The sequence below is a fragment of the Homo sapiens genome, chromosome 5, assembly GCF_000001405.40.
Source record: "Homo sapiens chromosome 5, GRCh38.p14 Primary Assembly".
NCBI lineage: Eukaryota > Metazoa > Chordata > Mammalia > Primates > Hominidae > Homo > Homo sapiens.
The window spans coordinates 127,742,452-127,763,655 of NC_000005.10; the positions used below are offsets into that span (position 1 = coordinate 127,742,452).

General features: G+C 40.1%; 1 protein-coding gene across 12 annotated transcripts in view, besides 1 other annotated feature; it reads left to right on the top strand.

Moving 5' to 3' along the window:
* The window catches only part of CCDC192 (coiled-coil domain containing 192), a 239,292-nt gene that overhangs the window by 40,236 nt on the left and 177,852 nt on the right, over positions 1-21,204 (top strand). For 10 of the 12 annotated variants that reach the window (XR_948757.4, XM_017009806.3, XM_017009807.2 and 7 more), the window contains one exon: positions 11,817-11,924. Coding sequence is in view for 11 of the 12 variants with exons in the window: in XM_017009806.3 (XP_016865295.1) it covers positions 11,817-11,924 (108 nt within the window). In the remaining variant the exon portion in view is untranslated. Of the gene's footprint in view, positions 1-10,222; positions 10,799-11,816; positions 11,925-21,204 lie in introns of those variants that run through there. The other 2 variants (XM_047417685.1, XM_017009808.2) reach the window with 2 other exon arrangements.
* Positions 9,754-10,953: an enhancer, noted in NCBI's record as "BRD4-independent group 4 enhancer chr5:127087897-127089096 (GRCh37/hg19 assembly coordinates)". NCBI's record gives its function as "activates an origin of replication core promoter dependent on BRD2, P300/CBP, MED14 and CDK7 cofactors, and independent of BRD4, by STARR-seq in HCT116 cells {active_cell/tissue: HCT116}" and the evidence as "EXISTENCE:reporter gene assay evidence [ECO:0000049][PMID:35650434]".

A 21,204-nucleotide genomic window follows, 5' to 3' on the forward strand; every position in this document is an offset into this window, starting at 1 on the left:
TTGCTAAGGCAGATAAGTTGATATAGAATACAGGTGCATCTTGGACTAGGTCCAGGGGAATTCAGGGACTCTAGTTCTGGAAAGGTCACCTGATAAAACATTCAATTCACAATTTAACAGAGATCATTTAGATAGGAGGTCTCTATACTTAGATTTCATAAACCAGTAAGAATTTTCACACCCAAAATAATTAGGGTTAGTTCTCATAGGACTGCCAACTTTTCAATTTTTTTCAAGACACTAAAACACAATAATTTCCATGTACCACCATCATTTGTTAAAGAAATATCCTCTTAACACCAAAGAAAGCAGAATGATTATAATCTCAGAATAAATGACAGTCTTCAAAGTGGAATCAATTTGGCTTCATGAAAAATTCACAATGTTCTCTTTAAAAGTTTGCCTTGTCCTTTTGTTGCTGGTTGGCACAAATGTTATCACAAACCAACACTGATCTATGGGGTGGCATTTGGGAACCACTAATATAATTAAACCCCTTTGGGCTGAGGTTTTTTTGTTTCCTCCTCCCTATCCACTCTCCACCCTTCCCAACTCATCTTTTCAGGGAACGCTGATCTCGCTGGACATTTATTTGGGTTCTCTTGCCCTCTGGCTTGATGAGTTCAGCCCAAGAGAGACACAGACAGGAGAAGAGGGGATGAGAAGAGAGAAGGTCAGGCTATTTACTCCGCTGGTTCATTTCCCCTCCCCGCTTCCCTCCAACCACCAAGACTGCCTAGACATAGTTGGCCGTGGCTGTGTTCCTCTCCTCAAGCTTTCTTTCTAGACTTGTCAGTTTTGCTCTTCCCCTACCTCTTCAGGTCAAGATAAGGCAAAGGGCACCCGTACTTCCAGGAAATGCTTCACCAACCTTTGTTGGTTCCTTTAATCTTACCCACACCTTCTAAATCATCCCTTCGTTTAACTCTCCTCGGTTTCTGCATTGGAGTAGCCATCTATTTCCTGCTGTCTTGATCAATACATTCTTCATTTAAAGATGAAAATGTTGAGACGCAGACAAATGAAGTAGCTGGTCCAAAGTCACATGGTCACTTAGAATCAAGTCAGATATAGACCATGCCTTCCAGATTACAAGAAGAGTGCTCCTTAGGTTGTGCTCATCCAGGCCACCATCCTCCCAGGGCCACCACCTGCTCAGCCATATAGATGGGCATTTCAACAACTAGTTGTAGTTTGTTCACATTTCTAATTTAAACATCTTCTTAGGTGACTATTGAGGCAAACCCAAACACAGAGGAATACTGTTTTCACTGGAGTGGATTAGAGCCAGGAAAATTGAGTTTTTAAATATTTGCCTAAGTAGAAATGGGCAATTTAGTATAAGAAACTATTGCAGGGCCAGGCGCGGTGGCTCACGCCTGTAATCCCTGCACTTTGGGAAGCCGAGGCGGGTGGATCACGAGGTCGGGAGATCGAGACCATCCTGGCTTAACACGGTGAAACCCCGTCTCTGCTAAAAAAATACAAAAAAATTAGCCAGGCATGGTGGCGGGCGCCTGTAGTCCCAGCTACTCGGGAGGCTGAGGCAGGAGAATGGCATGAACCCAGGAGGCAGAGCTTGCAGTGAGCCGAGGTTGCGCCACTGCACTCCAGCCTGGGCTACAGAGCGAGACTCCGTCTCAAAAAAAAAAAAAAAAGGAAAAAAAAAAAGAAACTATTGAAAACGCTAAACACAAAAGAACATGAGAATGATGAAATTACCACTGTGATGTGAATTCTGATCATGAAAGGGGAGCGGGGAGAGATGAAATAAATGTGCCCAGGGTGAGGGGCTGAGGCATGGGTGGTAGGTTGGGGAGAAGATGATCAGCTGGGGAAAGACTTGAATCTGCATGAGAAAATGAGTAGGTTGAAGAAGGGTAAGGAAGAATAGGGTGATAGGTGCCTGTCAAGCAGAAGGAGAGAGGAATGGACAGCAGTAATGAATAGATATCAAACAGGATATTTGTAAAATGTGTTTATCTGGCAGGAAGTTACTGTACCACTGAGCAGGGGCTGCTGCTGGAACCCTGACATATTAGAAGCCTCAGATTTTAGAGAAACTGAATTCTCCAAAACTGACCTATGTCAAAATGCTCTTCCACAATGGTGAAATTTGCCATAACCACACTTTTATTTAAAAATCTTGCTCTTAAATAAATGCACATGCACATATTTAATACATTAACTGTTCTTAATTACAAACTTGATTGAATTTCCCACTGCTGTTTGGTCACTTGCTGTTACAAAAGTGTCCCCATGGGTATTTTCTTTTACTTGGGTTTTAAAATAAGCTAGAGAGTCTTAATACCAAATTATTCTCTTTAAAGGAATTGGGATAATGGAATTATTAACATTTATTGAGCACTTCTTCTGTCAAAGCATTTACCTGCTTTACCTCATTCAATTCTTAAAACAACCGTTCCATCACTCAACCTCGTGACCACATTCTTGCCCTCATCTGCACATCTGGCCCCTGACCATGGCAAGCAGAGCTTCTCTGTGGCTCTGATCCCTGTCAATGTCCCAGGTCAGATGCATGAAAAGTATTGCTCAAAGAAGTCACTGTTATAGCCTCTCAGCATGAAGGACTGCCTGCTCTGGTACAGCCACCTTCCTTGACTGCCGAGCCTTTAATCAATCAACAATTATTTATCAGGCTCCTACTTACTGTTCAGCAAAGTCCCATCTGTCTTCTGCAGACAGGAATCTTTCTAGATACCGCACATGAAGTTGGATCAGTCAGAAACCTTGAGCCAATCCTTAAGGGTCAAAGAGTTTGTACAGCTGTCATTTTAGGACAGAGAAATAAAGGCTTAACAGCAAGGTAGAGGATAATGAGAAGGTACTGGAATAGATTAAGAAATCAAGAAATATAAAATTAGAAAATAATATGCAAATTTTCTTTTAAATTATCCAATGAGAAACCTTTGCAACCAAAATGAAGTCTACTCTTACAATGTCATATAAGATTTGTTCAGTTAGTAAACTATCAACCTCAACATCCATGCATAATAATAGTCAGGTGTCTTTACTGTAATCAAAGAGTTTATTGAATTTTTAGTGTTATTTAGTATCATTTTAGATTGATCATCTTGGCTACATTAGGTATCTGTATTTAGATAATAACTTTATATTTAGGTAGACAATTTTAAGACAAAAAGTAGAAATTAACAAAGAGAATTTTTATTAAATTGTTGGAATTTACCATTTGGAAATCCATACACAGGTTCAATTCCCAAACACCTATATATTGCCTATATTTTCATCATTTTGATGTCATATAACAGACTGTTGATTAGTATTATTCACTTGCAACTACTTTAACCACTGAAAGTATTCATTTTCATTATTAATACAAATTGCATGTGTCCACACGTACCTGGAAGTAAAATAAAATTAATTATGGAAGTCCTATCTTTCTGCCCTTCTGCCATTGCACCTTGCAAAACTGGGACAACAACTGAACACATCTAACTTTTTTAGTCTTTGAAACCACATATCCACCTCCCAGACCTCTATCTTTATGTGTTTACTTATTTTTGAAATTGTTCTTGACTTCATTTTTGTTTGCCTTTTTTCTGTTAATGGGGTTACCTCCTATTTAAAAAGTGCTTGCTTTTGTATAAGCTCTTTCCCGTAAGGGAGTGGGAGAAGCTGAAAGGCAGGTCAGAGAGCAGGGTGTGCTCACTGCAGCTGGAGTGAAGGTGTAAAAGACTGACTTTGCATTCTCCACAGTTTGCTCAGGTCTTTCTCTGTCCTAAAACAGATGACAATTTCCTAAATTTGTCTGTATGAAAAGTCCTATGTTATTTAATAACAGTCCTCGTTTATGCCTGTTTCATTTGGCTTTGACTTATATTGCTTTTGTCTTATGGAAATGTTTGTTCTTCTTAGCCAGGGAAATTTTGGGTGTTTGGAGAAGGCCTGGAGATATGGATTAGACAATCTTGCTGAGTCTACTCATACAAATTTTAAAAACTTCTTCTTGAGATCAAACATTCAACAAGAAAATTTTCCCTGGAAATAGCAGTCTAGATCAGAGATTCTCAATCTTTTAAAAATAGTTTGGCCTCATGACAATTCCCCATTTCTGCATATAATGTCTTACAACATGTATTCATCTCTAAGTGTAAATACACAAGAATTTTGTTTAAAGCCTTTTTTTTTTTTTTGAGAATTTTTGAACCCATTTTTGAAATTACTGGAACCATCAGGGATCCGAGGACAATTGGTTCACTTCCTAGTATCACCATTCCAGCCTAAGATATTCCTCCCCTAATGGCAAACTTTTGAGGGTGAGTATGCACCTGTAGTGGCAGAACTTGACTGTGGAGCCAGGCTGTTGGTGACGTAGCAATATTTTTTTGCCCCTCCTCCCATAGAATTCTGTTTATATCAGAGGCCAGTGGCAGAGACTCAAGGTTCAATGTATAGTATGAACAATTACAAAAACTGAATGAATGCTGTATTTTTATGCCTGGTTTCATTTACCACCAGATGGCTCTATTGTATCATCAGGAAATGCACACATGTAAAATCAGTGGTCTCATAAGCCATAGGGAAAAAAATAAAGCAGAAGTTAGACCTTTAAGGTATGTAGGAATGCAGTTCATTCTTTTTTTTTTTTATTTCTTGTTTCTTTTTTATTTATTTATTTTTTTATTGTTATACTTTAAGTTTTAGGGTACATGTGCACATTGTGCAGGTTAGTTACATACGTATACATGTGCCATGCTGGTGTGCTGCACCCACTAACTCGTCATCTAGCATTAGGTATATCTCCCAATGCTATCCCTCCCCCCTCTCCCCACCCCGCAACAGTCCCCAGAGTGTGATGTTCCCCTTCCTGTGTCCATGTGATCTCATTGTTCAATTCCCACCTATGAGTGAGAATATGCGGTGTTTGGTTTTTTGTCCTTGTGATAGTTTACTGAGAATGATGGTTTCCAATTTCATCCATGTCCCTACAAAGGACATGAACTCATCATTTTTTATGGCTGCATAGTATTCCATGGTGTATATGTGCCACATTTTCTTAATCCAGTCTGTCATTGTTGGGCATTTGGGTTGGTTCCAAGTCTTTGCTATTGTGAATAATGCCGCAATAAACATACGTGTGCATGTGTCTTTATAGCAGCATGATTTATAGTCCTTTGGGTATATACCCAGTAATGGGATGGCTGGGTCAAATGGTATTTCCAGTTCTAGATCCCTGGGGAATCACCACACTGACTTCCACAATGGTTGAACTAGTTTACAGTCCCACCAACAGTGTAAAAGTGTTCCTATTTCTCCACATCCTCTCCAGCACCTGTTGTTTCCTGACTTTTTAATGATTGCCATTCTAACTGGTGTGAGATGGTATCTCATTGTGGTTTTGATTTGCATTTCTCTGATGGCCAGTGATGGTGAGCATTTTTTCATGTGTTTTTTGGCTGCATAAATGTCTTCTTTTGAGAAGTGTCTGTTCATGTCCTTTGCCCACTTTTTGATGGAGTTGTTTGTTTTTTTCTTGTAAATTTGTTTGAGTTCATTGTAGATTCTGGATATTAGCCCTTTGTCAGATGAGTAGGTTGCAAAAATTTTCTCCCATTCTGTAGGTTGCCTGTTCACTCTGATGGTAGTTTCTTTTGCTGTGCAGAAGCTCTTTAGTTTAATTAGATCCCATTTGTCAATTTTGTCTTTTGTTGCCATTGCTTTTGGTGTTTTAGACATGAAGTCCTTGCCCATGCCTATGTCCTGAATGGTAATGCCTAGGTTTTCTTCTAGGGTTTTTATGGTTTTAGGTCTAACGTTTAAGTCTTTAATCCATCTTGAATTGATTTTTGTATAAGGTGTAAGGAAGGGATCCAGTTTCAGCTTTCTACATATGGCTAGCCAGTTTTCCCAGCACCATTTATTAAATAGGGAATCCTTTCCCCATTGCTTGTTTTTCTCAGGTTTGTCAAAGATCAGATAGTTGTAGATATGCGGCGTTATTTCTGAGGGCTCTGTTCTGTTCCATTGATCTATATCTCTGTTTTGGTACCAGTACCATGCTGTTTTGGTTACTGTAGCCTTGTAGTATAGTTTGAAGTCAGGTAGTGTGATGCCTCCAGCTTTGTTCTTTTGGCTTAGGATTGACTTGGCGATTTGGGCTCTTTTTTGGTTCCATATGAACTTTAAAGTAGTTTTTTCCAATTCTGTGAAGAAAGGCATTGGTAGGTTGATGGGGATGGCATTGAATCTGTAAATTACCTTGGGCAGTATGGCCATTTTCACAATATTGATTCTTCCTACCCATGAGCATGGAATGTTCTTCCATTTGTTTGTATCCTCTTTTATTTCCTTGAGCAGTGGTTTGTAGTTCTCCTTGAAGAGGTCCTTCACATCCCTTGTAAGTTGGATTCCTAGGTATTTTATTCTCTTTGAAGCAATTGTGAATGGGAGTTCACTCATGATTTGGCTCTCTGTTTGTCTGTTGTTGGTGTATAGGAATGCCTGTGATTTTTGCACATTGATTTTGTATCCTGAGACTTTGCTGAAGTTGCTTATCAGCTTAAGGAGATTTTGGGCTGAGACAATGGGGTTCTCTAGATATACAATCATGTCATCTGCAAACAGGGACAATTTGACTTACTTCCTCTTTTCCTAATTGAATATCCTTTATTTCCTTCTCCTGCCTAATTGCCCTGGCCAGAACTTCCAACACTATGTTGAATAGGAGTGGTGAGAGAGGGCATCCCTGTCTTGTCCCAGTTTTCAAAGGGAATGCTTCCAGTTTTTGCCCATTCAGTAGGATATTGGCTGTGGGTTTGTCATAGATAGCTCTTATTATTTTGAAATATGTCCCATCAAGACCTAATTTATTGAGAGTTTTTAGCATGAAAGGTTGTTGAATTTTGTCAAAGGCCTTTTCTGCATCTATTGAGATAATCATGTGGTTTTTGTCTTTGGCTCTTTTTATATGCTGGATTACATTTATTGATTTGCGTATATTGAACCAGCCTTGCATCCCAGGGATGAAGCCCACTTGATCATGGTGGATAAGCTTTTTGATGTGCTGCTGGATTCGTTTTGCCAGTATTTTATTGAGGATTTTTGCATCAATGTTCATCAAGGATATTGTTCTAAAATTCTCTTTTTTGGTTGTGTCTCTGCCCGGCTTTGGTATCAGAATGATGCTGGCCTCATAAAATGAGTTAGGGAGGATTCCCTCTTTTTCTATTGATTGGAATAGTTTCAGAAGGAATGGTACCAGTTCCTCCTTTTACCTATGGTAGAATTTGGCTGTGAATCCATCTGGTCCTGGACTCTTTTTGGTTGGTAAGCTATTGATTATTGCCACAATTTGAGATCCTGTTATTGGTCTATTCAGAGATTCAACTTCTTCCTGGTTTAGTCTTGGGAGAGTGTATATGTCAAGGAATTTATCCATTTCTTCTAGATTTTCTAGTTTATTTGCGTAGAGGTGTTTATAGTATTCTCTGATGGTAGTTTGTATTTCTGTGGGATCGGTGGTGATATCCCCTTTATCATTTTTTATTGTGTCTATTTGATTCTTCTCTCTTTTTTTCTTTATTAGTCTTGCTAGCGGTCTATCAATTTTGTTGATCCTTTCAAAAAACCAGCTCCTGGATTCATTAATTTTTTGAAGAGTTTTTTGTGTCTCTATTTCCTTCACTTCTGCTCGGATTTTAGTTATTTCTTGCCTTCTGCTAGCTTTTGAATGTGTTTGCTCTTGCTTTTCTAGTTCTTTTAATTGTGATGTTAGGGTGTCAATTTTGCATCTTTCCTGCTTTCTCTTGTGGGCATTTAGTGCTATAAATTTCCCTCTACACACTGCTTTGAATGCATCCCAGAGATTCTGGTATGTTGTGTCTTTGTTCACAGTGGTTTCAAAGAACATCTTTATTTCTGCCTTCATTTCATTATGTACCCAGTAGTCATTCAGGAGCAGGTTGTTCAGTTTCCATGTAGTTGAGGGGTTTTGAGTGAGATTCTTAATCCTGAGTTCTAGTTTGATTGCACTGTGGTCTGAGAGATAGTTTGTTATAATTTCTGTTCTTTTACATTTGCTGAGGAGTGCTTTACTTCCAAGTATGTGGTCAATTTTGGAATAGGTGTGGTGTGGTGCTGAAAAAAATGTATATTCTGTTGATTTGGGGTGGAGAGTTCTGTAGATGTCTATTAGGTCCGCTTGGTGCAGAGCTGAGTTCAATTCCTGGGTATCCTTGTTGACTTTCTGTCTCGTTGATCTGTCTAATGTTGACAGTGGGGTGTTAAAGTCTCCCATTATTAATGTGTGGGAGTCTAAGTCTCTTTGTAGGTCACTCAGGACTTGCTTTATGAATCTGGGTGCTCCTGTATTGGGTGCATATATATTTAGGGTAGTTAGCTCTTCTTGTTGAATTCATCCCTTTACCATTATGTAATGGCCTTCTTTGTCTCTTTTGATCTTTGTTGGTTTAAAGTCTGTTTTATCAGAGACTAAGATTGCAACCCCTGCCTTTTTTTGTTTTCCATTTGCTTGGTAGATCTTCCTCCATCCTTTTATTTTGAGCCTATGTGTGTCTCTGCACGTGAGATGGGTTTCCTGAATACAGCACACTGATGGGTCTTGACTCTTTATCCAATTTGCCAGTCTGTGTCTTTTAATTGGAGCATTTAGTCCATTTACATTTAAAGTTAATATTGTTATGTGTGAATTTGATCCTGTCATTATGATGTTAGCTGGTTATTTTGCTCGTTAGTTGATGCAGTTTCTTCCTAGTCTCGATGGTCTTTACATCTTGGCATGATTTTGCAGCAGCTGGTACCAGTTGTTCCTTTCCATGTTTAGCACTTCCTTCAAGAGCTCTTTTAGGGCAGGCCTGGTGGTGACAAAATCTCTCAGCATTTGCTTGTCTGTAAAGTATTTTATTTCTCCTTCACTCATGAAGCTTAGTTTGGCTGGATATGAAATTCTGGGTTGAAAATTCTTTTCTTTAAGAATGTTGAATATTGGCCCCCACTCTCTTCTGGCTTGTAGGGTTTCTGCCGAGAGATCCGCTATTAGTCTGATGGGCTTCCCTTTGAGGGTAACGTGACCTTTCTCTCTGGCTGCCCTTAACATTTTTTCCTTCATTTCAACTTTGGTGAATCTGACAATTATGTGTCTTGGAGTTGCTCTTCTCGAGGAGTATCTTTGTGGCGTTCTCTATATTTCCTGAATCTGAACGTTGGCCTGCCTTGCTAGACTGGGGAAATTCTCCTGGATAATATCCTGCAGAGTGTTTTCCAACTTGGTTCCATTCTCCCCATCACTTTCAGGTACACCAATCAGACGTAGATTTGGTCTTTTCACATAGTCCCATATTTCTTGGAGGCTTTACTCATTTCTTTGTATTCTTTTTTCTCTAAACTTTCCTTCTCGCTTCATTTCATTCATTTCTTCTTCCATTGCTGATACCCTTTCTTCCAGTTGATCGCATCGGCTCCTGAGGCTTCTGCATTCTTCACGTAGTTCTCGAGCCTTGGTTTTCAGCTCCATCAGCTCCTTTAAGCACTTCTCTGTATTGGTTATTCTAGTTATACATTCTTCTAAATTTTTTTCAAAGTTTTCAACTTCTTTGCCTTTGGTTTGAACGTCCTCCCGTAGCTCAGAGTAATTTGATCGTCTGAAGCCTTCTTCCCTCAGCTCATCAAAGTCATTCTCCATCCAGCTTTGTTCCGTTGCTGGTGAGGAGCTGCATTCCTTTGGAGGAGGAGAGGCACTCTGATTTTTAGTTTCCAGTTTTTCTGCTCTGTTTTTTCCCCATCTTTGTGGTTTTATCTACTTTTGGTCTTTGATGATGGTGATGTTCAGATGGGTTTTTGGTGTGGATGTCCTTTCTGTTTGTTAGTTTTCCTTCTAACAGACAGGACCCTCAGCTGCAGGTCTGTTGGAGTACCCTGCCGTGTGAGGTGTCAGTGTGCCCCTGCTGGAGGGTGCCTCCCAGTTAGGCTGCTCGGGGGTCAGGGGTCAGGGACCCACTTGAGGAGGCAGTCTGCCCGTTCTCAGATCTCCAGCTGTGTACTGGAAGAACCACTGCTCTCTTCAAAGCTGTCAGACAGGGACATTTAAGTCTGCAGAGGTTACTGCTGTCTTTTTGTTTGTCTGTGCCCTGCCCCCAGAGGTGGAGCCTACAGAGGCAGGCAGGCCTCCTTGAGCTGTGGTGGGCTCCACCCAGTTAGAGCTTCCGGGCTGCTTTGTTTACCTAAGCAAGCCTGGGCAATGGCGGGCGCCCCTCCCCCAGCCTCGCTGCCGCCTTGCAGTTTGATCTCAGACTGCTGTGCTAGCAGTCAGCGAGACTCCGTGGGCGTAGGACCCTCTGAGCCAGGTGCGAGATATAATCTCGTGGTGCGCCGTTTTTTAAGCCGGTTGGAAAAGTGCGGTATTCGGGTGGGAGTGACCCGATTTTCCAGGTGCCGTTCGTCACCCCTTTCTTTGACTAGGAAAGGGAACTCCCTGACCCCTTGCGCTTCCCAAGTGAGGCAATGCCTCGCCCTGCTTTGGGTCGCGTCGGTGTGCGCACCCACTGACCTGCGCCCACTGTCTGGCACTCCCTAGTGAGATGAACCCGGTACCTCAGATGGAAATGCAGAAATCACCCGTCTTCTGCGTCGCTCAGGCTGGGAGCTGTGGACCGGAGCTGTTCCTATTCGGCCATCTTGGCTCCTCGCAGTTCATTGTTTGTGGGGTTAATTGGAAGCAGCTGCAGCAGGAGTATTCACAAGAAAACAGGACACACCCACAGCCAAGCTATAGGAAGGTCATCATCCTAGCATGTACAAGGTTTTCCAACTTTTCATATTTCTTTCTAATTATTAAGTATCACAATAGCAAAAGAGTAGTTAGGAAGTGCTCTAATCTCACAAAGGCCTGTACCTTGTGTTTTCCTACCAATTTTGCATACTCTTCAGCTTGTAGCTGAGAAAAAGTAACTTTAGAAACATTTTGAGTCCAGGCGCAGTGGCTCACACCTGCAATCCCAGCACTTTGGGAGGCTGAGGCGGGCAGATCACGAGGTCAGGATTTCAAGACTAGCCTGGCCAACATGGGGAATCCACGTCTCTACTAAAAATATAAAAATTATCCAGGCATGGTGGCGCGTGCCTGTAATCTCCAGGGGCTGAGACAGGAGAATCGCTTGAACCCAGGAGGTGGAGGTTGCAGTGAGCCAAGATCGTGCCCTTGCACTCGGCCTGGGCAACAAGAGCAAAACTCTGCCTGGAAAAAAAAAAAAAAAAAAGAGAAAAAACTTGACAGGCAGAGTCTACACATCTGCTAATTTAAGTCATATTAGCCAGGCTCTGGGGAAGAATGATCTGATTCTAAAACATGTGGTATCTTTGCTTTAATGACATATGCTAAGAAGGTGAAGATGAGAGGAAACAGGGTTTCTCTGAGTTCAGTTGACTCTGTTCCTACTGTTAGATGACTGTTAAAAACATAGGCATTCTAGGTGACATCTTCCATCAGGAATGTGAAATTTTCATCCTAACCTTTTGGAGTAAGAATAAAAGTTTCAAAGTAGTCAAATTCCAATGACAGTTATTTAATCTAACTTTCTAAAGCTGTTCATTGTCATCATTTATTTTTTACTCTTTTTACTTTGTATATTTTAAATGAAACTATTGTTAAAACATTTTGCTGTTTTATTTCCATGTTAAGAAAAGGGGAGGATTTGTGTGAGTTTATCAAGCCTATCATTGATAAACTCTTATGGATCTTATCAAGTCCATAAGATTGTTTGAGATGCACTCAAACTATCCATGTCAAAAAGTAATACTTGATTTTTTTTTTTTTAAAGAAAGCGTCCCTGGATACTGGACAGATGGCGTTTACCTTGGCCCAACTTGAGTCCTTGGAGATTTGCCTGAAAGAAGCAGAAGAAAAGGCTAAAGCTTTATCTGAACAGGTAACACCTGTCATGGGAACTGGAAACAAATGTTCCTCAGTGTGCAGCATGGCAAGTGTAAATGTAAACACACGTTTTAACCTCTCCCTCTACTGATACACACACACACACACACACATACACACACACACACACACATTGCAGTATGCCCCCCCACCCCACACACACACAGCATTCCATTCATTTTAGACATAACAGTGCTTACTTTAGTCTGTATGGACCTTTTCAGCGTTTAAAACTTTTTTCATCTTTATATTTTATTTGACTTTCATTCACCACAGGCCATGAGTTAGGCAAACCTTCTTTAACTAAGTGATCTTCCTGAATAAGCAAAGCATATTTGCATTATAAACAGATAAGCTCAAAGATAAAATAAAGCCTATTGGAGCCATGCAGAAGTAATTTTCTTTTATTTTTAGGAAACTTTACTTGGAAGAGAGTTTTTCAAATATTGACATCCCTCTTGGGTTTTTGAAACTTACAGAAGCAAAGCAGCAGGTGATAAGTGGAGCCTGGTCTGCCCCAGGTGGCCTGGACACGTTATAGGTGCTTTGCATGTACAGCAGCTCCATGATTTCAGAGACAGTGGCTGTGGGTATAAGTAAAGCTCAGACCAGGGCTGGAACATTTCCCAATAAGATTATACTTTGCAAATAGTGCAGCTATTGTTGCCTTTCCCCCTGGTCAGAGAGGCTTGGCCCCAGGGGACAAACTGCTTGGAGTCTCGGTCCCCCAGTGCTCTCTTTTGGTGACAGTCAGTGAAGGGAAAAGGATGGAGGAGGCCCTGCAATGTTAGAAATGTTTATTAATTTCTTCTGGATTGATACATTTAGATAAAAGTATATTTTAGATACATTGGAAAAAAAGAATTTTAAGGTACTTTTAATAAAGGTAGTCTCCCTGTATAGTGAAACCTAATTGCATCAGAATTTTAGCGGAAACTAAGGAGGAAAGGTGCTTGTGTTATGAGAAAAAGTATAATTAATATATAATTTAGTGATACACACACAAATGCCCTTCATTTCTTTTTCAGCTTACCAAAAAAGGTGCATCCCTTACTTTGGCATGTATTTATTGTTTACTGACTAAATGCGATTGATGCAAGCGGTCACAGGGGGCTTGTGTCAATTAATAAAAATGTGTTGCCCTTTTGGAAAAGTTTCCATCTCAGCCTCAAGCCATAGCTCTAGCCTGCCAACTGTTGTTTTTTTTTTTTTCTAAAATAAACAAAAACAAGCCTCGAACTGTGGCAAAATTAAGAATTACCAAGAACGTAATGATAAACATAAGGTACCATTTCAAAGCAAAAAAAAAAAAAACTAAGAATTTCAGAGTCTCCAAATTGGGAAAGATTTTTCAATGGATAACTAAAAAAGGGCACCCATGCTGGGATTAGGTTACACTAAGAAGGTATATAGGATTTTTTTTTTTTTGGTAATCAAATGGCTTTTAATGATTTCTCGTTTGAATCAGTAAGATTGAATTCACTCATAAAAGTACCCATTCCTGCACTTTGGGAGGCTGAGGCGGGTGGATCACGAGGTCAAGAGATCGAGACCATCCTGGCTAACATGGCGAAAGCCCGTTTCTACTAAAAGTACAAAAAAATTAGCCCAGCGTAGTGGGTGGCACCTGTAGTCCCAGGTACTCGGGAGGCTGAGGCAGGAGAATGGCGTGAACCCGGGAGGCGGAGCTTGCAGTGAGCCGAGATTGCGCCACTGCACTCCAGCCTGGGCGACAGAGCCAGACTCTGTCTCAAAGAAAAAAAAAAAAAGTACACATTATTTTTGTTCTTGATGAAATATTTTTATCCAATGCAAATGTAACCACCCAATCAATGGGTTCACCTTGCCCGCTGCCTAGACAGAATCGATTTATCAAGACAGGGGAATTACAACGGAGAAAGAGTAAATCACAGAGCCGCAGAGCCGGCTGTGCAGGAGACCGGGATTTTATTATTACTCAAATCAGTCTCCCTAAGCATTCAGGGATCAGAGTTTTTAAAGATAATTCGACGGGGAGGGGCCCGGGAAGTGGGGAGTGCTGGTTGGTCAGGTTGGAGATGGAATCATAGGAGCTCGAAGTTAGGTTTTCTTAATGTCTTCTGTTCCTGGGTGCGATGGCAGAACTGGTTGGGGCAGATTACCATCTGAGTGGTGTCAGCTGATCCATCGAGTGCAGGATCTGCAAAATATCTGAAGCACTGATCTTAAGCTTTACAATAGTGATGTTATCCCCAGGAGCAATTTGGGGAGGTTCAGCCACAGGCTGCATGAACCCTAAATTGTAATTTCTAATCTTGCAGCTAATTTGGTAGTTCTGCAAGGGCAGATTGGACCCCAGGCAAGAACAGGGTCTTTTCGGGAAAGGGCTGTTATCAATTTTGTTTCAGAGTCAAACCATGAACTGAATTCCTTCCCAAAGTTAGTTCGGCCTATGCCCAGGAATGAACAAGGACAGCTTAAGGGTTAGAAGCAAGATAGAGTTGGTTAGGTCTTATTTCTCTCACTGTCATAATTTCCTCAGTTATAATTTACAAAGGTGGTTTCACAAATAGCTCCTAATATTTAAGATTCTTAGCTGGATGATCTCTTTATATAACACCAAACAATTAGATGTATTTATTTTTTCAGTAATATAGCAGATTAAATATATAAAATGGAAACTGGATTTCACTTAACTTTTTTGTACCTACCATAAGTAAGGTGCTGGTTAGGTGTTTTGTGGGAAAGACATGTAAGCCAGAGCTTCTCTACCCAAGTAGCTCACAGAGAATAGAAAAATTGGAAGACATGGAGAATGAAAATAGGTGTTTATATGACTCCAAGATAAACTGCACAATAGCATTAAGTTGCAGGATCTGTACATGTTAATTGTACTAAAGGATAGTTCTTGAAGTTGCCAAATTTGCATAACCAAGTGAGTTTAATTGGAAGTTGGCCATAGTTTGAGGAAAGGGAGAGTATGATGTGTAAAAGCACATTGCAGCCATTTTCAATATTATATTTTTAATTAACTTGAGCATTTTATGAGATCTGGCTGTCTTCATTGTTACTGTTGAGAGGGGTCAATCAACACTGTTGTCAGAGGATTTAATCCTGAGATTTTTGCTTTCTCCAATGTTTAGTCTCTTCCTTGAAAACATAAAAACTTTAAGAACAGTCCTCTGTCCCCTATTTTAAAATTTAAGTCAACATTAAAAACATATGGATGAGAGGATAGGGAAAGGGGAGAAACTGATATTTCCTAAGAATGTTCTTGAGAATATTTCAGAATAGAACACCTGTCACAAACAATCAAACATTTGTCCACTGGGTGCCACTGTCTTCCTTACCAGGCCATGCCACTAAGGGATTGCAGTAAGACTGTCTTTAGTGTTAAAGACAAGGATTACACACACACACACACACACACACACACACACTCTCTCTCTCTCTCTCTCTCAATCTGTGTGTATGTGTGTGTGTGTGTGTGTGTTTGAAGGAATATTTTTGCCTGCTGTACACGTTAAGGCTTTTTCTAAATGTCATTAATTTAGGATTTGTCACAAGGATGTTGGGAATGCTAGCTTGCCTTTACTGGTAACCCAAATTATGGGCTAGCCGGGTGAAGTAGAATGAGGTGGGGAGTGTGGAAGACACGACAAGAACCAAGATTTGTGCTGGAATGAAGCAGTGGAAGCTTGCAATATTATCAAACAATGGATCCTGCCTTTGAGAAAAGGGTTAATCTCACTGTTATTCAAGACCTTATCTGTTAGCTTTGCCTCTGAGAACACAGATTTAACTCAGAATGGAAAGTATAGGTGCCTAGTGTTGTTACCTGCATTAATCATCTGTTGGTCCTGGGCCTAAATTTGTGCAAACTGGGCATTTCTAAGGTCTCCTTCAGCAAGGTCCACTGTTACAAAGAAAAAAATTAGAAATAGCCAACAAATAAGAAGGTTGTGGCCACTTCCTCCGATGAGGTCACACAGTCAACAGAATTCTTTGTTGGGCTTCACTTTAGCTTACAATTATTCTTTATTTCTCTGCAGCCAAGTCACTAATGTCAAAATAAAAGAAATAATGGGATCAGGATAACTTGCAATTAAGACTTATAATCTGGGTTAGTCAAGGCTTTGAGAAATAACTGCACCAATTCAGCCAAAGTAGAGTGAGAAAGTGTCATTTGGCTCCAACTTCTAACCTAGGTTATAATGATAAACCACTCAACATATTACCAAGTTTTGCTTAAGAAAATACTTTATTGTATTTCCCATAGGTTAAGATCAGGTGGGAGGAAAACTAAATGCCTGGATGTTGGGTAATAGATAAAAAAAAGGGTGAATAAAAGGGAGAAAAGCTGTTAGGAATGTGAAAGAAAGATGAAAAGTAAAAGCATTTCTAGAGAAGCCCATAAAAAATAGTTTTTTCATGTGTGCTGGCTTCTATCACCAGTGAATATAAGAGGACAAGGAAAGGGACTCTGGTGGACTGCTGTTTATGACCATACACAAGCAAATAGACCATACAGCTTTTGTGCTGAGACAAAAGATAGTGTCAAGAAAACCCATACTTTTGCAATGAAGTCTGGATCCAGATGCATGCCAACATAGAGCTTATGAGGTAACATTCCTTTTGGCAGCAGTGTTAGCCCAGAGTCTCTCCCATTTATCAATGGCTTCTGGTTCCCAGCTCCAGGTATCAGATCAGGGAGAGCCCAGGCTTTGTTCCTGCTCCACTATCTGCTAGCTTTATGGCCTTGGGCAATTCACTTTGTCTCCCCAGCTACAGTTGTCTTATCTAGGAGGGTGTAAACATGCTAGTTACATAGGGCTGTTGTGAGGCTGTTATTAAATGGGATAGGTATCTGTCCCTCTGTCCCTTTGTGGTTATTATGGCTGAATGTTTCTGTCCCCCTGCCAAAAAGAAAAAAACCATATATTGAAACCTAATCCACAATATGATAGTATGTGGTGGTGGGATCTTTGGTGGATGATAAGTTCTTGAGGGCACTGCCTCAGGAATGGGACTAGTGTCCTTATAAAAGAGACTCAAGGGATCTCCCTCACCCCTTCCACCATGTGAGGACAGAGCAAGAAGCTGCCATCTGTGAACCAGGAAGCAGACCCTCATAAGACACCAGATCTGTTGGTGCCTTGATCTTGGACTGCTCAGCCTCTAGAATTTGAAGAAAGAAAGAAATTCCCATTGTTTATATGCTAGCCAGTTTATGGTATTTTGTTATAGCAGCCCAAATGAACTAAGACAGTAGGTTCTCAAAAACATCTGTTTATTTTCACTCCTACCAGTGGTCATAGCAGAACTGTGTAGTTCTCTTTATGCCTTCAGCCACATAAATTAACGAGTTCCAACCTACCACAAAAGTCTTTCTTTCTCACACACACACACTGCCCCGCTCGCTACCCAAGCTCCCTTGTCATAACTTGGCTGGCTTTTCTACTATCCAGTTTTCTCTTCTACTCTTTCTCATCTCTTCATCTGGTAAAGGGATTTTAGTTCTTTAACCTTGTCTTTCCTTTCTGCTTCATCTCTTGGAGCTTCTGTCTGTTTCTGTCCATTATCTGATTTTGTACAGACTGGGAGCTGTTTTCCTTGGCAAGCTGGGGCAGGGAGGGTGTCAGGAGGTGAATCCAGTAAGGACTATGTAGTAAGAATTCATTTCATATATCTTCTGGGTACCATACCTAGCAAAATATAGTTACATATGAGAAAACTTTTTAAAGTTCATGGAAAAATGGAATTAAACAATAAAAATAAAAATTATAAATTTTATTTTTCAACATAAGCTTCATCAATTTCAAGACACTTTTGAAGTGATGATACCAGCCCTTTAGTCCACCTTAAAGAACTGAGGGTCCTGGGGATTTAACCATTTTAATACAGTGGTTTTTTTTTTTTACATCATTAACTAAAGAAAACTGAGTGCTCTTTAAAGGTTTTTTAAGACTGGGAAACAAAAATAAGGCAGAAGCAGCCAAATCAGTACTGTAAGGAAGATGCCTAATGATTTCCCATGGAAACTCTTGCAAAGTTGCCCTTTTTGATGAGAGGTCTGGGTTAGCATCTGGTACTGAAGCGAGATGAGGTAAGTTTCAAAACTTTACATTTATAACAAGTTCCCATCTCGCTTTAGTACCAGATGCTAACCCAGATCTTCAGGCTGAGGTTCTTTTTCACCCTTGTCCTGTGTTCTCCAACTGCATGGCTAACACGGTGCAACCCCATCTCTACTAAAAAATACAAAAAATTCGCCGGGCATGGTGGCAGGCTGAGATCGCGCCACTGCACTCCAGCCTGGGTGACAGAGCGAGATTCTGTCTCAAAAAAAAAAAAAAAAAAAAAAAGGAAAGTTTTAGGAAGATTGAAAAATAATAATGCTCCAAGAGCCCCGTGTTATAGTTTGCAGAGATAATCTCAGCAAGACAGAAAACCAAGTCTTAAGTTAGCAGAAGATGGCAAGAGCTGAACTCTAAGATACCCCTCCTTGTTGGAGTCGTATGATGAGACTCCTGGAATGTAAGAGGTGGGGATAAATTACCCGTAATTTGTATTTGAAGAAAGAAAATATTATGTGTATGTTGTCAGAATGAACAAGAAAGTTAAAGGAAATTCAAGAGGAGGCAAAAACGCAAAAGAAACACTCCGTTCTGAAAAAGACTTGTATCTATTCTGACTGGCTCCCCAACATCCTGCTCCCCTTCAAGCCCATTCTGGCTTATTGCAAGAACCTAATTTGGGGCATTTGTGGCTTTGCACGCTGTTCAAAGTCAAGATCAAGCCAGGTTTAGTTTCTTTGCTGTTTTTTCTGTTTGTTTGTTTTTGTTGGTCAGCACTCATTTGTTCATTTAACAATTGTTTATTGAGGATTCACTATATGCCAGGTACTATATCTAGAAGTGGGAACACAGCAGTAAACAAGATTGATAAGACCCCTGACTCATGGAGCTGACATTCTACTGGAGGACACAGATAGCAAACAAATAAACATTGAAAATACATGGAGCTTCAGATGGTGTTAAATACTTTGCTGGGCCACACTAAAGGGTATCTGTGGGACTACGCTTAAACTTAAATCCCACTGGGAAGTCTGGTTCCTGAGAATAACCTTGTGGGCCCTTGTCCTTGAGAAGCTGGTGACTGTAGCTCTATGTGCATGTGTATGTTGGAGTGTGTGTATGTTGGAGTGTGTGTGTTATTCCTGTTGTTTTTGATATGAAACAATAAAACCTAAGGCCAAATTATTGCTCTAGGTTAGATCAAGGTTCTTGGGGCTCAGGTTTTCTCTTCAAGATGGCATTTTCAAAGAAACGGGAGGATTTTAATAGTTTACTTTCTCTTGAGAGTTTTAACTATTTTGCTAATATTTACCCTAAATTCTTCAGGTATATTTATGTGTATTGTTATAAAGCTTGGACTAGAAACAAACAACGCCCCACCAAAAAAACTAATAAGTTATGTTTGACTCTAATCAGCAAGAAATTATGAATCATTTTATGCCTAAGGCCCTAACAAAACTCCCATTATTTCTCTCTTAGTACATCTTAGTGTCCAGTCTATCTTTTCTTTATGTTTAGGAATAGAAGGAACAAAGATACCAGCAAATTTTTGATACTGAATTTGTGTATTGAGTGGCTAAAAGTAATCTGATGCATACTGAGATTATCCAAAAAATGCTCTGTTTTTTTTTCATTGTTTATATGCAACAGTGGATCTTTTGATGTCAAGTTTATTTGAAATAAACAATGTGCCCTTGGTAGGAGTATTCATTTCTGCAAATGCTCAGAAATTATGCTTGACATGCCAATCTGAAATCATGAGTTTTGTGAATGAGTTTTTGTTTTCAGAACTATTTTGAAGTGTACTTTAATGCCATAAAATCACAAGCAGTCTGTTTGACCCAAAATGAGTTCCTTATCAACATGAAGCCCAGTTATCAGGAACTTCATTAAACAATTTGGCTAGCCAGAGTTCTGATTGATTTTACAGCAGACAAGTTCCCTCCTTATTAAAAAACAAAACAAAATCCAACAACTTCTCATTTAAGCAGATGTTCATCTTCATCTTGTTACTGGGTTGTTGGCATAAATTGGTAGCCTCAGAGAATGCAAGGAAAAAAATAGAAGCTGGTGAAGAGATGGTGTTGTTTTGAATAGAGTCAAACACAATGACAAATCGGCTTCTGTAGTATATTGTTGTTGCAGGCGGGATGTGTGGATTGTTGGCCTGTTACATAACTAAAAACTTCCTTTTGCTTGTAAATGTCAAGATCAAACAGAGGTCAGTTTTAAATAGCTGACCGGTGCTAATAAATGTGACTTTCTTGTCTTGGAAAAAGCAAAAAGCCTCATGCCTTAAGAGTCATGGCTCTGCTGTTAGGAGGAGGTGTCTTTGTGTATGGGCTTAACCTGTATTTTGTTCATGAGATTTTCTTTGAGATGGTAAATGAACTTTCCCTTTGCTTATTGTCTACAAATAAATTAGTAAGTTAGGTATATGCTTTTGTTCAATTATTCATTCAATAAATATTAATCGAGTTTATACTATGAGCTAGGCATTCTGTTTGGTACTTCTGTGAATTTTAGCTATGTATTTCTCCAAACAGTCCTGGAAAATTGTATATGCCATTTTGCAAATGATGAAAGCTCTTTTGTGGGTTTGCAGCCCTCTTGTCTGCTCCTTCTATAGACTCTCCTTGGTGATCTGACTTTAGCATACACAATCTGCTGAAAAGCCTTAAGTCCTCACTACTAGTCCAGGTCTTCCCTGACTTCAGACCTAATTATGTATACTGAACAGCTCCACCAAGGTTCTCACAGACAACTCAAGCTCTCCATCTCCATCTCCAAAATTCAACTTACCTGCTTCTTGCCCCAAACCTGTTCCTTCTCCCACATTCCCTAGGCCAGTGATCAGTGCCACCAGCCACACTGTGCTGCTTTGATTCTTTCCTTTTCCTCATGCCTCATATGCAATCAATTGCTGAGTACTACAGGTGATGACTCCCAAATCACTCTTGAATCCATCTTTTTTTCTCTATCTCCACTATCACCATTTTTGTCCAGGCTACCTTCTGCAGTGCCTCTCCTGACTTTACCTTCATTATGGCCCTTGTTTAATGACTCCTCAACACTACACCAGAATGAAGGTTCTATAACAAAGATCTCATATTTCTCAACTTTAAATCTTAAATTAGCCTGATTTCACTGTCAGGGTCAAATCTGTCCTCTAACAGATCTTACAATGCCATTTATGATCCGACCACCTGCTTGTTTCTC